At 51.4% G+C, this 15,196-nt stretch overlaps 1 protein-coding gene and 1 long non-coding RNA gene across 14 annotated transcripts in view; one reads left to right on the top strand and one right to left on the bottom strand.

The window, feature by feature from the left end:
* The window catches only part of PRKAG2 (protein kinase AMP-activated non-catalytic subunit gamma 2), a 320,989-nt gene that overhangs the window by 248,109 nt on the left and 57,684 nt on the right, over positions 1-15,196 (bottom strand). For 6 of the 13 annotated variants that reach the window (NM_001407032.1, NM_001407026.1, NM_001040633.2 and 3 more), the window contains exon 1: positions 10,181-10,624. The exons of the other annotated variants lie outside the window; for them this stretch is intronic. In NM_001407032.1, coding sequence (NP_001393961.1) covers positions 10,181-10,328 — 148 coding nt within the window. In that variant the 5' untranslated portion in view covers positions 10,329-10,624. Of the gene's footprint in view, positions 1-10,180; positions 10,625-15,196 lie in introns of those variants that run through there. 13 annotated transcript variants of the gene reach the window in all.
* Positions 2,103-6,585, top strand: PRKAG2-AS2 (PRKAG2 antisense RNA 2). The gene is made up of 3 exons (NR_171033.1): positions 2,103-2,801; positions 3,137-3,400; positions 5,014-6,585. It is a non-coding gene; the product is annotated as a PRKAG2 antisense RNA 2 (long non-coding RNA).

The raw sequence follows: 15,196 nt of genomic DNA on the forward strand, positions 1-15,196 counted from the left end.
AGTCCCCTGTAGGTGACGCAGGCTGCTTTCAATCTTTGGCAATTACAGAGAATTAATACAATAAAAACTTGGTCCATACTTCATATTTCCAGCATAAGTTCCCAGAAGTGTGGCTGCTGCTTGCAGGTCAGTGCATTTATTATTTCTGCCACGTGCAGACAGGGGGAAGGGCCCCTTATAAAACCAACAGATCTCGTGAGAACTCACTATCACAGAACAGCATGGGGGAAACCACCCCCATGATTGAATTACCTCCACCTGCTCTCTCCCTTGACATGTGGGAATTACAATTCAAGAGGAGATTTGGGTGGGGACACGGATGTCACCACGAGCCCTCCTCAGCATTGGACAGTTTGCTCTCCTAACTATGATGTAGGAGAGTCTATTTCCCGCACTGACTCACCAACAGGCTATTTTGTTCAACACCTGGACTTTTGCTGGGTTGGTAAGACGTGGCATCTGTGTAACCCAAATTGACATTTGTTTTCTTTATTCCGTGGTGTTCCATCGCGGCACAGAGTCGGCACTTGAGGTGGCATCCTGTGGAACTGCTTCTCAAACTGCACGTAGGACATAGGTCATAAAATCCACTCAGGACACACAGGTTTTGTTGCGGCTGCTGTTCATAGAACAAAACCAGAGCTCCAGGAGTTTTCTGGGATGTCTATATCCAATAGGTCATGATGTGAAGTTCCTCGCCGTGGCTCACTGTCAAAGTCTGAAAGCCGCTGCGGAAGTGGCTCAACGCATGGCAGGCACAGGGGCTCCATGGGGTAAGTAGCCCACAGGACAGCCACTAGGAATGTGGTCCCTCCCTGCATACATGTGCTGTCTCCTGTTGAGTGGGCGAATCTGTTCCTCCATCCTTGAGTTGGGGCAGCTGTGCTCAACAGAAATGCAGCAGAAACCACACCACCTGACTTCTGGGTTAGGTGAGAAGGAACCTCGCAGTTCCTCCTGGATCTCTTGTAATGTCTGCCGCGGGTGAAACCAGCTGCCACGTTAGGAATCTGCACCAAGACCACCATGTTATGAGGAAGCTCAAGCCAGCCACGTGGAGAGGCTGCACGGATGGAGAAACAGCTGCACGGCCAGCCCCAGGGAGTGATGTGAGAGTGAAGGAGCCTCTAGGATGTGCCAGGCTCAGCTGCCACCTGACTTTTCAAATAGGAGGAACCCCCAGTGAGAACTCAGCTGAGCCAGATGACTCCTAAATCCATGAAAGATGATTTCAAATCATATTTTTAAGTTTTGGGGTGGTTTGTTATGTAGCAATAGGTGATCTTGTGACTATGTAACCCTGGGAAAGTTACTTCATTTCTCTGTTTTTTAATCTAAAAACTGGGAATCATGGGAGTTCCTACTGGAAAATGAGTTAACATATAGAAGTATAGAACCACATATGAGTTAACAAAGACATGGCTGTGATGCCTGGGACTCATTTGGAAAACATGAGTTATCACTTTAAAATGCTTCACTGAGTTTAGAGGCAATATACTATGATTACTGAACCCAGGGACACTACAGATTCTTCCTTCTCAGAGCTTTGATGAGAGGAAAGAGGCAGATTCCACCTTACCTTCAGGTTTGCCAAGATCCTTCCCCAACGTACAAGTGAAAGGGAGCTCAGGAAGGCAGAATGAAGGGACACATCAAATCCTTGGTGACAAAGTTTAGGACAGGCTGGGCACAGTGGCTCACGCCTATAGTCCAAGCATTTTGGGAGGCCAAGGCAGGCTGATCACCTGAGGTCAGGAGTTCTAGACCAGCCTGGCCAAACCTGTCTCTACTAAAAATACAAAAATTAGCTGGGCGTGGTGGTGGCCGCCTGTAGTCCCAGCTACTCAGGAGGCTGAAGCAGGAGAATCGCTTGAACCCGGGAAGCGGAGGTTGCAGTGAGCCAGGATCCCACCACTGCACCCCAGCTTGGGCGACAGAGCGAGACTCCGTCTCAACAACTATGACAACAACAAACAGTTTGGGACAGAGAAAAATCCCTGTAAACTTCAAGCCTTTTGGGGTGCTCTTGGGTGAACTCCTAAATTGCTCAAGGGCTAACTTCCTCATTTATTATTAAAAGAAAAAAGAAAAAGGCAGAGGCCAGTGGTGAAGGCTGGCGATTTCTGGTCTAGGGTGAGAGATAACAGAAAGTAACAATGGAGGCTCTCGCAGTGCTCGCAGGCACTCAAGGAACGGAAAGGAAATTGCACATTTCACCCGTGACTGCATAGGCAAACGAGAACAGCAAGTCTCTGCTTTCAGCTGGAATGTTATCAACTTCGGTCACGCTGATTATCTCAGGCTGATCAGGAAGGCTGGTACCAGGAGTGAGTGACTAAATGAAGAAATTACTAATTAACAAATGCTTGGGTGGACAATCCTTCAAAATTTAGGATCAATGGGAGGAGACAGAAGGAGTCTTGGGAGGATTTTTAAAATATGCCAGAGCTGGCTGGGTACAGTGGCTCACACCTGTAACCTGAGGACTTTGAGGTGGAGACGGGCAGACCACCTGAGCTCAGGAGCTCAAGACCAGCCTGGGCAACATGGCAAAACCCTGTCTCTACTAACACTATAAAAAGTTAGCTGGGCGTGTTGGTGCATGCTGTAGTCCCAGCTACTCAGGAGGCTGAGCCACGAGAATCGCTTGAACCTGGGAGATGGAGGTTGAAGTGAGCCAAGATCGCACCATTGCACTCCAGCCTGGGGAAAAAAAAAAGCCAGGCCTCCTAATGTACTCATTTAAACATCACTTGTGTCCACCTGGGTTCAGAATTGCGCTGGACATGGGATACACAAAGGTAAGACATGGACCCACCCTCAAGTCTGAAGGTGGAGGTGGGGAAGGGCAGAGGCTGTAAAGGGTCAGAGGGACCTTGTGGAGTGGTGGAAATGTTCCAGATCACACTGTGGCGGTGGTCACATGACTGTGCACACTTACGACAACCCATCTAATTGTATACTGTCAGTCAAAGGGCATTATATGTAAATCACACCTCAATAAAGCTGACCAAAAAGTGGCCAGTCAGCCACCAGCAGACCCATGGGATAGGGGAAGAAAAACAAGCAATCTACAGAACGTGGGAAAATGCCTATATTAAGAATCCTGGAATACTCCATGTGCTTTTTCATGCAGCGGGAGTGGAATTTTCAGGAAGCAGCTGTGCTGTGGGTGACGGTCATACTTTATTCTCTAAAACTCTCCAGTTTCAATTGGCCTCTTGGTGCCAAAGCACCATGGCGTGTTACACCTATCAGATCGGGCACACTGCCCCTTCTTCCCAACCTACGAGCTGAAATGGCCAGCACTGCGCCTTCCAGAACCCAGCGTAGATGCACAGCTGCCACGGAGGTAGGAAGAATGATTCGTTTGCCACCAAAAGCCCAGTTTCTCCAACAGGTAAGTCCCAGCAGGGTGCGATGTCCCAAACCTACACAACCGTTTCCACTGCCTATTCCCGGGCCCCTCACTTGGGTCAAGGCAGCATTTCAGAGGAAGCCAGGAGCGAGAACTCGTGCATCCGAACCCTTCTCTGACTTGGCGGGTTATTGGATTAGCTACTCTCAGAAGACCCAAAAGGCATAGGGGAGAGAAGAGATAAATCTGGATGCGGTGGAGACAACGGCCAAACAGAAAAACCGCTTGGAGAATAAAAGTCGGGGGAAGCCTGTAGTGGGGACGCTAGACTCAAGGGAAGGCTCTGGAGGAAGGAAGAGGCTAAAGGCATAGTTTCGTAACCCCTCCCTACAAACTACCCCCTTTCCCTCTGCCCAAGTGAGCACAGGGACCGCCCCGCAGCAAGACGACGGCAGATATTTAAAATGTGAGGAACCCCGGCCACAGCGGGCGGGGCTCCCCACCCATCACCTAGTGTCCTCACTCACTGCACTCCAGACTTTGTCAAAGTGGTGGCAGCTGAGTCCAGCACCAGAGATTGGTGATGCTCGGGTTGATTTCATTGTCAAGTGCATCTGGCAGGACTCTAGTTTGTCGACAGTATTCCAGACAAGGTGTAGCTGGCTGAACCGCAGTGCCTCGGCATTTGGGACCATTGAAAAATACTCTGGATTCTTTTTTTTTCTTTTGCAATTGCACAAGGATTTACTTATCTCTCTTCATGGGTGAAACTGATTTGGGGGGAAACTGCTAGACTCAATGACCAGTTGGACTGTAGGCAAGAAGGCCCATGATTTTGTTCCTCAGATAAAAGAGCAGCAGGGAAACAGGAGGCCTCTCTCCTGCAAAGCTGGTCCAAAGTGCACACAAGGCATGGCTGAGCGCCTGGTGATGCACAGTCAGCAGACGGGCGAGACCCAGGAACGTGTACTGTAACAAGAGAGTCTAGTGCAGGTTGTTGGGGGGGCTTGAGGCTATCCGCTGACATCTTTTCTCCCCAGTCAGGAGACAGTAGGGGAGATGGTTCTCATAGATCAAGTCGGGCTTTGAGAAGGAAGGTGAACAGGAGAAAAAAAAAAATAGAGGCCTCAGAAAGCCCCTCCCTCCCAAGTCTCTCCTCACAGGCGAACCACGACAGATGGCTGCGCGGCCTGAGGGCCGGCCTCCAGGCAGCCAGGGAGGAGCAGCTGCAAGTCCTGCAGTCTGTGAGACCCCCGAAGGGTCTGGGCCAGCATCCAAGGCTAAAGCCTTGGCTATCCTAACGCCGCAGTGGGGCACTTAAAGCTCCTCACGCCCAAGCCCAGGCCTGGTGGGAGCACGGTTCTCTCCCGCGCTCCCCCTCCTCCCCACTCCACGGCCACCCTTCCTTCCAATCGTCCCCCTGGAGTTCGTGTTGGAAGATGCCAGTGAGCACGTCTCAGGGCTCTACGCCTTGCACGGATGAGTATGGGGTGACTCAGAGGGAAGGGGTGGTGGCAGATGCCTGCAGCTGGCTCCCAGCCAGGTTTGGCCATCCTGCGTAAATGCCTGCCTTGGGTCTTGGCCTAATACTAAGGGCAAATCCCAAGAGGGGTGAGTGGGCTTCTGGAATCTGAGCAATTCTGCTTTCAAAACAGGTGAATCCCTAGGCCAGCCCGGCCCCTTCCCACACACCCCTACCCCGAGACGGGTGCAGAATCAGCAGCGGGGATCATCCAGAGACTCTCGCAGTCCACGGCAGGTGTCGGAGTGGGCCTCATTCCAGAGTTGTGGTGGCCGCTCCACCTGGCGAGCTTCGAGGGGACTCCGGCAGGCGCTCGCTGTGGGGTCCTCCCACCAGTCTTCTCAGCACAGGAACGGTGCCTTCACATTGGTCTTCCGGGGCTTAAAAGCATATCATTCCTGCTTGCTCTTCAGATGCAAACTCCCCCTCCAAGGATACCTCCAGGTTCCCTGCCAGCTCACTTGACTCACATGGCAATGGTCACCGGGCTGCCTGAGCCCAAATCAAGCACCGTTTATTAGGGGGAAGCTCCGTTATCCAGAAAGCTCATCTTTGAAGAGCTACCCATTTCCTGCCAAAGTTGTGGCGGGAAGGCCTTAGGTACTAGAAAACCTTGGGGAATGGCAATTAAAGGATTATCATTCTTACTTATTTGTTTGGATAAGCAGCAATCACCCTTCGGATGCTTATTGGTGAGAATATTTCTAAAAGTGTCCTGCACATTTCCCTGCTTTGATGAATGGAACGGCAGGGCAGGATTTAACTGTCTGATGGCTACGGTTTTGGGAAAGTGCCAGAACCTCCACGTCAGCCACCCCAGAGCCACAGGCAGGGTATGAGCCACAGCAATGGGCCCCAAGAAAGAGCCCCACACCCACCATGGTCCACGGAAGACGCTGCTTACTGGCCCCGGGTTACCTGGAGTCATGTGCATTCTCCTTACATCAAGTGAAGATAATATTTTGTTTCCTTCCCACTTTTTCTCTAACACAAGCCACCCCAGTTCTCCCTTCTGACAACAGGCAAGTGGACCCTAGTAGACCTTCCAGAAAAGCCTTAGAGAGCACCCCCAAATGCTCACATTTGTCAGCTGTAATTCCACCCTCAGTTAAAACCTGATTCTCAATGTGACTTGGCCAACGCAGCTTGCAAAGCAAGAACGTCTTCATCTAAGGTTGAAAACATCAGTTGTTTGGGTTGTGAGAAAAGAAAAGCCCACAAGGTTTCCGAGGCTTGGTGCTGTTTCTCACTGTCCTCAGCTCCTGATTCTGCAGCTGGTTCTCTCTCCAAGCACTAGCAAAACCCTGCCCTAGGAGCCCCCAGACTCTGAGAGCCCATGACCAAAAAGAAAAGGAAAGCCAAGTTGGGGAAGAACAGGGGCCCCCAACTCCACAGCCCTCCACTCTGCCCAGAGGGCCCACCCTGGGCTGCCTGGAACCCCCTAAAGTTGCCACCCCCGCAACACAGTAGTGGGGCAGTTCCTGGCAGCGCCTGCAGCCCATGGGCTGGCTCTGTACCCGCAGCCCCGCCAAGCGTCTGTTATCTTATTTACTGGAATCTGCACAGCCAGGCTCTAGCTCACCGGTGACTAAGGAGCTGCAGCCATTATTACCAGGCAGATGGCAGACTCCCTAAAAGCAGACATTAAACAATAAAATGCCACCACATACCTTGCCCACAAAATAAAATCAAAACAAACACCTAAGTCTGGCTTTGCTTTTCTTCTGCTCTCTCCCTACCTCCCCTGGGTCAGAGCACAGGGGGAGAGGTGCACGGGGCACCGAGAAGGAAATTTACGATCGAGGAAGACCATACGGACATGCCCAGTGACCTTCAGAAGGTGGCAGTAGCAGAACCACCATGGGACCCCAGGTGGCGGAGAGGGCAGACCCTGTCCATGTGTGACAGGTGGGGCAGAACCACCAGCTAGGACAGGTGGGATTGGAAGAACAAAGGAACGACAGGGACCCTGCAGAACCCACAGCCCTCTCGCCTCAGTCGCCTGATGAATAGTCAAAGTGCTAAGACCTGGAGAATTCCATCAAAAACTCAGTTGCTCCCACTGCTTTGGAAGGTGTTCTGCTGGGCTCTGCCAGGACAGGCCACGGCTGACGGCTCACCTGAAGAGAGGGACCTGCTATTTATGAAGCATCTATTATGTGCTGGCAGCTGCCCCTTACTCCTGCAAGGCAGGTACTGTCTCCATTCTTAGAAGAAAAATCAGGCTCAGGAGAAGGAAATAATTTGCCCGTGGTAGCCAGGGGGTGAACAGCAGAATGCTCTGCCAGGCCCAGGCCACGAGGCCTCTGGGGTGAAGAAGGAACACCCCCCAGTTCTTGGGCATCAGGTGCTTGTGATTCCATTCTATTTTTCTCTTAACTCATAATTCAGTAATTGAGGCTAGAGCTTTGCCATCTCACATTAAACCCTTTTAGGACTCCAGGGCCTTAACTCACACTTGTGGGAAGGATGTTTGGTTCAGGCCAATGAAAGGCTTGGCTGGAAAGCCCACAAAGCTGACAGGTGTGCAGGGCTGATGACAGGTCAGTGCACTGTCCCACTGGTGCCGGGCTGCTGAGGCTTCAGGACAAGCCTGCCCACTAGGAAGGGAGGGAAGGTATTGAGCCTTGAACGAGCCACTTACCTGTAGGTCCAACCTAGGTTTCCTGCTACGTCACCAGCCCCCAACAAGAGCTAAAGGTAGGTTTTCACTACCGGACATTCACCATGTGGCTCATAAGTACAGTTGGAGGGACAACTTTGGAGTTGTCCGAGGGCCCGAGTTTGAGCTCTAGTTTGCCATTTACTGGTTATGCAATCTCAGTAAATTATTCAAATTCATGGAGCCTCAATTTCCTTGTGTAAAAGGGAAATCTCCCAGGATCATCATGAAAATTATAATAATTAACATTCATGAAACTGCCACACATGGTGCCAGATGCCTAATAATCAATCAATCAATATTTACCAAAATATGCAATACAGACAGCTAACAGCAGTGTAAGAGGTAACGTAGAGACAGATCCTTCTAAGAAATTAAGACCCCTACCTGACTGCATTAGGAGTCATCAATTGAATCTACCGACAAGAATTGAACACAATTTAATACAAAGTAATGCATAAAACAAAAGTACAGGCATTCACCTTCATTAGGCCTGGGCTGAGTCTGAGAGGAGGTAAGGGGGTTTGTTAGAAGGGGGTGTGGTGAGACTGGTCTGTGGGGCATCTCTGGGGAGGAGAGACCTGAATACTTTTAAAGGAAGAAAAAGATCTATAGTTTGAAAGAGCGCTGTGAAGGAGTTGGATAAATCCAAGATGGATTCCATTAGTTAACAGCTGAGCTGAAAGAAGAACACAAAATTAGAAGCCGCAGTTCCAGGGACCCCTGGTTATCCAACACTATGAAGTGAGGAGGTCAAGACCAAGCATCTTCCTCTTGTTGGAAAGGCCAATGCCTGGGACACAGGACTCAAGAGTTTGTTTTGCTAAAGTGCTGATGTTTAATTTCACCCTGGGACAGGACCTGAAGAGAAGCCAGAGCTGGGTAACAAACACGAAGACCAGGCTTAGGGACTGGGTCCACCCAACCTCAGTCCACCAGCCTCCGTTCCCCTCCACCACCCACCCCACTCCCAGCTTCAAAAGAACAGGCTGGACCGCAGGACACCTGGCTTCTCTTTCCAGCTGAATCCCTTTGTGACTTTAGGCAAAGAAGATTAAATATTTTAGATTTTCAATTATGTTCACTGAATTTAACCACTGAACCCTCAGTTTCCTCATTATAAGCGTGTGTCTCTCAAGGCCTACTACTGCTGGGCTGAAAAAAAAAAAACCACACACACACACCTGAGATTTATCTAGTCCTTGGAAGTTTCCATGCAAGTTGGGGAAGCAGCTGGAAGGTGAGAAACCCCCAGACCTAAGAGGCCCACAGTGAGGCCCCTCGGGTGAGTCGGAGCCTGCCCAGGGTGTGTGGAGCCCCAGGGTGCCGGCTCACTCTGACTGCGTCCCAGGGAGCTTCCCCCTCTCACTTACTCTCAACTATTCACACCTAGCAGTCCCCGAATTCTCGATTTATGTTTTGGGGCCTCCTGCCTGCATCCTGGTTGTATCCCTAGGCCTCTCCCCATCTTCCAACACCTACAATCCGTAACGCCATCAACGCTGGATTCCCTGCTAGCCCAGCCTTCTTCAATTGTTTACTATCACCTTTGCTCTCCACCTGGGTTGAAAATTCAGATGCACAGAATCAAGCCTCCCCCCAGGAGGGGGGTCAAGCGACCCCCAGGTCACTCCTAATCACCAGCACTCAAGGACCCCGAATCACAGACTTGAAGCAGACAGACAGCCTCTGGCTTACGGAAGGCGATTGTAAGGAAAAAAAAAAAAAAGGACATGGCTTACTCAAAGTGCCATGCATCAATGTCACAGAAGGGCGACAAGAGGGATGCTGGGTGAGCTCCGAATCTAGTACTTTCCAGCCTGCAGCTCTACTTGTTGCTGCAAATTCACTCAACAGTCAGGGCTTCTGGTTCTCAGCCTCCCCCTCCTCCTCTCCACCAGACAGCGGTGACAGCCCACGGTTCAGCCACTGAGGAGGCCATCTACGATCTTCTCTTCCTTCCCTTCCTCTCTCCCCCACTCCCCTCCCATCTGCTGCTTCTTTGGATTCCCCACAACTTCAGCAAGCAAGTAAGCGTTGGGCTCCACGCTCCGCAGGAGGCCAAGATACCCTTCAATGTATATGGGGTCAAGAGAGTCCCCAGAAAACTGTGGGCCATCCCCAAAGCCCCCACATCATCCCCAGTCTTTTCTGTTTGGGCCAAAGGTAATAAGTGATGACTCAGGAAGGGCAAGGCCAGGCAAAGAATGACAACTTCGCTAAGATTTCAGCTCCAGTAAGGGAAGTTCAAGCCAGGGTGGGAAGGCAGGGAGGAGACCCTGTACCCAGGACCCAGTGTGTGAGGCAGCTCTGCTCAGCCTGGCAGGGGAGGAGAGACAGACTCAGAGAGGAATGGAGCTGAACACGCCCACACACATACCACCTTCACTAGTGATGCTCTTTAAATCACCAAGAAAAAGTTATGTAAGGAGAAAACATACAGCTTCCGTGGAGAGAAGGAACATTTTGCTCAGCCTTGGGGTATCTGATTTAATAAGAGGCTCTTGGAGAACAAAGCCACAATTCAGCATCAGTCTTACACACCAAGGAGACAAAGCATCGTGAGGGGGAAAACCGCACACCCAGGGACGCACAATCACTATGCATTTAGAAAGCCAGCTCCCGCAGGTCTGCTTACTCAGCCCCAAGGGGTCCTGGAGGTCTTCTCTTCCAGATGCTAATAAGCAGTGCAGGCTTGTAAGCTGCTGGATGGCAGGATGCGAGTGACGGGGACGGGCGGCACTCCCAGCTCTGACAAATCCTGCTGCCTCACTCGAAAGGTCCATCAGAGAAGGGGTTTCCCAGCCCCTTCAGCACAGGCAATTTCTAGGGTTCGGCTGTGCTCCGAGCTGCTGCCACTGCATGTCTGCAACAGATGGGGACCGGGGCTGGGTGTGTTCCCAGTCCCCAAGGCAGCGCAACAAGCGGCTGGCAGACAGCATGGGCTGGCCTAAGACAGCGCAGGCAACGGTCTTGGTGGCTGGAGCTGCTTTGCTGCTCAAAATGCAGGCAGAGCTCGGGCAGATTCCCCCATTGACGGGACTGCAGCAAACTGTCATTCCCACCTGTGTCAGGCGCTGCTGGGGAGGAAACTCCTTACCACACAGCAAGCCAGCAGGAGGGAGGGCTGGACCGGAGCTTTTAAAAAGACAGGCAGCAGGATGGAGGGAGGCAGGAGCAGAGGCCGATGATGCAGCAGTGGACAGCTCTGGGCTCCAGGTCCTCTGGCCAGCACAACCCCTGCACTGTTCCCATCTAACTTCAGGCAAAGGCTTCAGAAATCTGAACTCCCTGGGGATTCCTGTCCTTGGAGCACAAAGATTGTGGGGGTTTTTTTCCCCTCTGGCCAGAAGGATGGGTATGGCTTTCCAAAAGGCTCTGGCAGTGAAATCCCCATTTACACTCCATTCCCCCAACTCCAACCAGACAGCCTGCAAACATCATCCAGGAGACAACATGGTCTCTGCCTATATCAGCCATGTCTCTGATTTTCTGTATTCTGATGCTTTGACACCTGGGGCCTTGCTGATCCTGGAGGGACTGCCCTCCCAGGGCTGGGCAATTCCTGGAGATAGTAAGCAACTCATCTGTGAGCTTGCTTTTCCTATGCAAGCCAACCCACACAGACCCTTCCCCTCCTCACCTCCTCCTGGGGGCTCTCACACCCCAGGCCATCACCCACTACCCAAATCACCCCAGGGCAGGTACCAGACAGCTAGGGACAGCCCCTGTACCCACAGTCCCCTAAAATTATTCACAGAAACCACAATAAAGTCTCTTGCCTGCATCTCCCCCTTGCTCCCTCTGCCTCCTGCCCAACCCCGTGCTTCCCCACGTGGCAGTGGTGTGCCTAGCCTCCTGCTTCCAGGGATCTGTGAGTATCATCAGTTCCTTCCTTCGTGACACTCATTCCTGAGTCTGCATGTCTTCCTGTACCTGATTACAACAAATCCCAGGTGCCCTGAAAACAGGCTGTGGGGCAGAAAATGAACTTGAATTGTTAGGAGAAAATGAGGGTCCCCATTTCAGAACCCCGCCGTGTCCCTCATTAAATAAAACTTGCTCAGGACTTGAACTTCTCAGCAGTGGAGGAATTGCTTCCAAAGATATTGAGTGATCTGTTGCTGCAGGTATTCAAGAAAAGGAGGCTTCTTCCACGAGCCTGTGACTCAAAGGCTATGATTTAGTGGGCAAATGTGTTATTCAGGTAAGGTTGATGGCAACACAAGGTGGAAAAAGATTAATGTGGATGACGTATTCAGGAAGGCTTCCTAGAGGGGACAGAAGGGCGTTGCATGGCCATCTACTAAGGCCCACGGACAAAAAGGCGGCTGAGTCAGCTGGGACTTTGGGGGGCCTCTGTAGGGGTTGGAAGTCCGTGGCTTTCTTAAAGTCACTTTCAGCCCAGGAGGGTACCAGGCAATCCAGCTGTCCACTCAGAGACCTGACAAATCACAGGCCTGGCGTGCTGTGGCCAGATAGCTCTAAGAACTCACAAGCCTGAGCTCTGCACTTGCCTACCTGAGCAGGCCATTTTAAGCGGAAACTGTTTTTTGTTTTTTTTTTGTCCGTAGAATGAGCCATGTGTTATGGGATGTTCCTCAAGGTCCCTTTCAGACCAGAGCATTAATATTCTGTGTCAACAACCCAGGTCCAAGTCCTGGATCAGTCATTTCTCTGAACCTCAGTTCTTCCTTTGAAAAACCAAGCTGAGTGGAAACACTTGCTCTGCACACCTCCCAGGGCTGCTGTTGGGATCATGGATGAACACGCATCAGGACAGAAATAAGCATCATCCTGGGATGTGCGGGATTATTCTGGAACCAGAGGGCAGTGCTAGCATAAACCTGAGGTTTAGCAGAAAGCTGGCGCCATTTGGCGAAGATCGAAGGGCCAAACCTCCTGCAGCCTGCAGCCAGCCCCCCGGGCACCGATGCAAGTGGTCGACCAGAGATCCGGCCAATCTCAATATTTTCTCCTGCTGGTTCTGGAACTAGCCTTGCTGGGTGAGCTGGGCCTGTTTTATTTTCTGTGTGCTTTATTCCAAAGCATACATACGAGCCTGAGGAAAAAAGCCTAATTGGTTTTCCTTGGAAAAGCTGGAAATGTCAGAGAAATGGGCTCCGTCGTCTAAAGGATTCAGAGGTTTGCTACGCTTGGAGACCAGCGTTTGAGAGTGACTTATGGGGTGTGATGATGCTGTAGTTCTCACGGCAGCAATTCCACGTCTCAGGGACCCAGGATCACTCATTAGAGATTAAGGAACATAAACAACTCCACTCCTGCTTGCAAGCTGCCCACCGCAAGCACGGTCACTGTCTTCACCTGCATTTCTCCTCGCTTCCAGAACCTCCACTGCACTCCGCATGCAGGTGGCTCTGAGCTTTCCACCTACTCTCCCTGGAGGGCGGAGTCAGCTGTCTTGAACAACAGAGCCTAGTAGATCACAGATACTTAGCAAAGCCTGAAGACCATTTTGGTGCATGGGGCTGGTGTCAGAATCAGAAGTGAAAAGGCAATGCCTTCCTGAAGCACATCCCCTCGGACTCACCCGCTCTAATTCATCCTCCTAAACTCTGTTTTTCAGGCATTACTCTTAGCACCCTCACCAGACAAAGCAATAACAAAACAGAACCAGAAAACCTTCACTAGCTCCATGCCATCTACAGAACAAACCCCACTTCTTCAGCATGGGCTGCCAGGCCCACAGGAGCCTGGCCCACGGTCATCCTTCCACACCCCCAGGCTTCCCAAGGCTGTCAGGCCTCATGACCCTTGGGCCCCGCATGCAGGCACCCTCCTGACCCTAGAGCTTGGCATCCCTAGAAAGCCTAGCCCTGCCCCTAAAGCCCCTCCCTGGCACCTGTAGGTTATCACCAGGGCCCTCTCCTGGAACTCATGTTTTGAGTCTATTTTAAGTGCTGAGTATTTTACATATCCTCTCTCAACCTGCACAAAATACTGTCCATTTTATCGATAAGGAAATTGAGGCCCAGAGAAGTGGAGTCACAAAGGTTACAGAACACACAAGCTGCAAATCCAGGATTCGATCAAAGTGATGTTCCCCTCCCCAGCCTGGCTCCGTACAGCACATCCTAACAGGGCCACTGTCCCTTTATTCATTTTTGTTTATTTTTATCATCTAGTTTTTCTGTGGCTCATGCTTGTTTATTACTTGCATAATTAAGAATAAGAGGAAGATACTCACACACCACAAGTTGAGAGTCCCCCTTTACAGGTCCAGCCTATAACATCTGAAATAAACAAAGTCTGCAGCAATACGGAAAGGATCAGGTACCACCTGAGTGTGCAGAAATGGGATATTGTCAAGTATGTTCTGATAGAGCCAGACATTGGGGCCTTATGATATTACATAACAAGTCAAAACAGTGACTTCAAAGAATGACAAATGGCAAATGTGACAGGAAAATCTCAAATGATGCATGGTACTGCCTGAGCTGTGTAAGTGGCCTAGAAAACTAGACATGCATGAGCACACATGTGTAAAAGGCGTGTCTCCAGCCCCCACCCCCCAACCCCTGAATAACAGACCTGGGTTAGATTTCTCAGCATCCCAGAAATCTAGCACAAATCTTTGCCAAATCCCATGCCGCCCTCAGCCCTTCACCTAAAAGTCAAATGCTGCATGCCAAGCTCACGTCCCTGCGATGAGGCATTGCTATGCAGGACTACACCACTGCACCCCAGAACCCTGTGTCCAGAGCCAATCTCGGCACCAGGCCGGCAGGGCAGCTTGCAGAGGGAGTATCTGCAAAAGGGCTGATGGCAACTGCCCTGGGCAGAGACGCTGACCAATAAAGCCCATATTCTACCCCCCTTTTATGTGCCAATGCTGTCCCTGCCCTCACTGTCCTGCAAGATCTGTGCAGGGGAAAGCCAGAGGCCAGGGCAGCTGAAAGAAGAGGGAACCCCCTGGGCTCAAGGCCCAGCCTCATTGACCACACTTTTATTTCACTTGGGAGCTGGCAGCTGGGGATTCGGGGCACGGCATGCCACTGGCTGGGGCCAGCATTTGAGATTGACTGGGCCTGGTGGGATGTAGACGGTGTGGCATTTTACTTTGGAACCTCATTCCTATGACAGCTTGAGGCCAGTGCCCTGTACTCATGAACTCTGTGCAATATGCCAGGTCCTGTGGTTGCTTCTGAAATATCCCAATTGGGAACCAATGTGCCAAAGAGGGCTGCTCTGCGCCGTGAACATCCTTGTTGAAATTCACAGCAGAGGGCTTGTCAATCAGCTCCCTGGCGAAATGAGTGGTGTGCAGAGTGAGTCAGGAGGATGGCACAGGCTGCAGCCCCCTTGGATAAAGAGACAGAGAATCTGGCCGGCCCGCAGCCCACCCAGCCCCGGTGACCTGGACGCTATTGGTCTTCATCCTCCACCTCCGAGGACCCAGCTGCTGCATCTGCTGTTAGCTAGACCAGTCCTGCCGGTCCTAACACCTCTGGGTCCTGCTCGGAGTGCATCTGCCAGAGGGCAGCGCTGAGACTTCCTCTGAGCTACAAGAACAGGTTGGACCTGCCGCCTAAAATCGCCTATAGGGATTTGGCAAACCCTGCTCTAGGATTTCCTTTTGTTGTCATAGGCCACCAGTCCCAAGGCTGTCAGGGGGACACGCAGCCTCACCCAC

The sequence above is a fragment of the Homo sapiens genome, chromosome 7 (assembly GCF_000001405.40).
Source record: "Homo sapiens chromosome 7, GRCh38.p14 Primary Assembly".
NCBI lineage: Eukaryota > Metazoa > Chordata > Mammalia > Primates > Hominidae > Homo > Homo sapiens.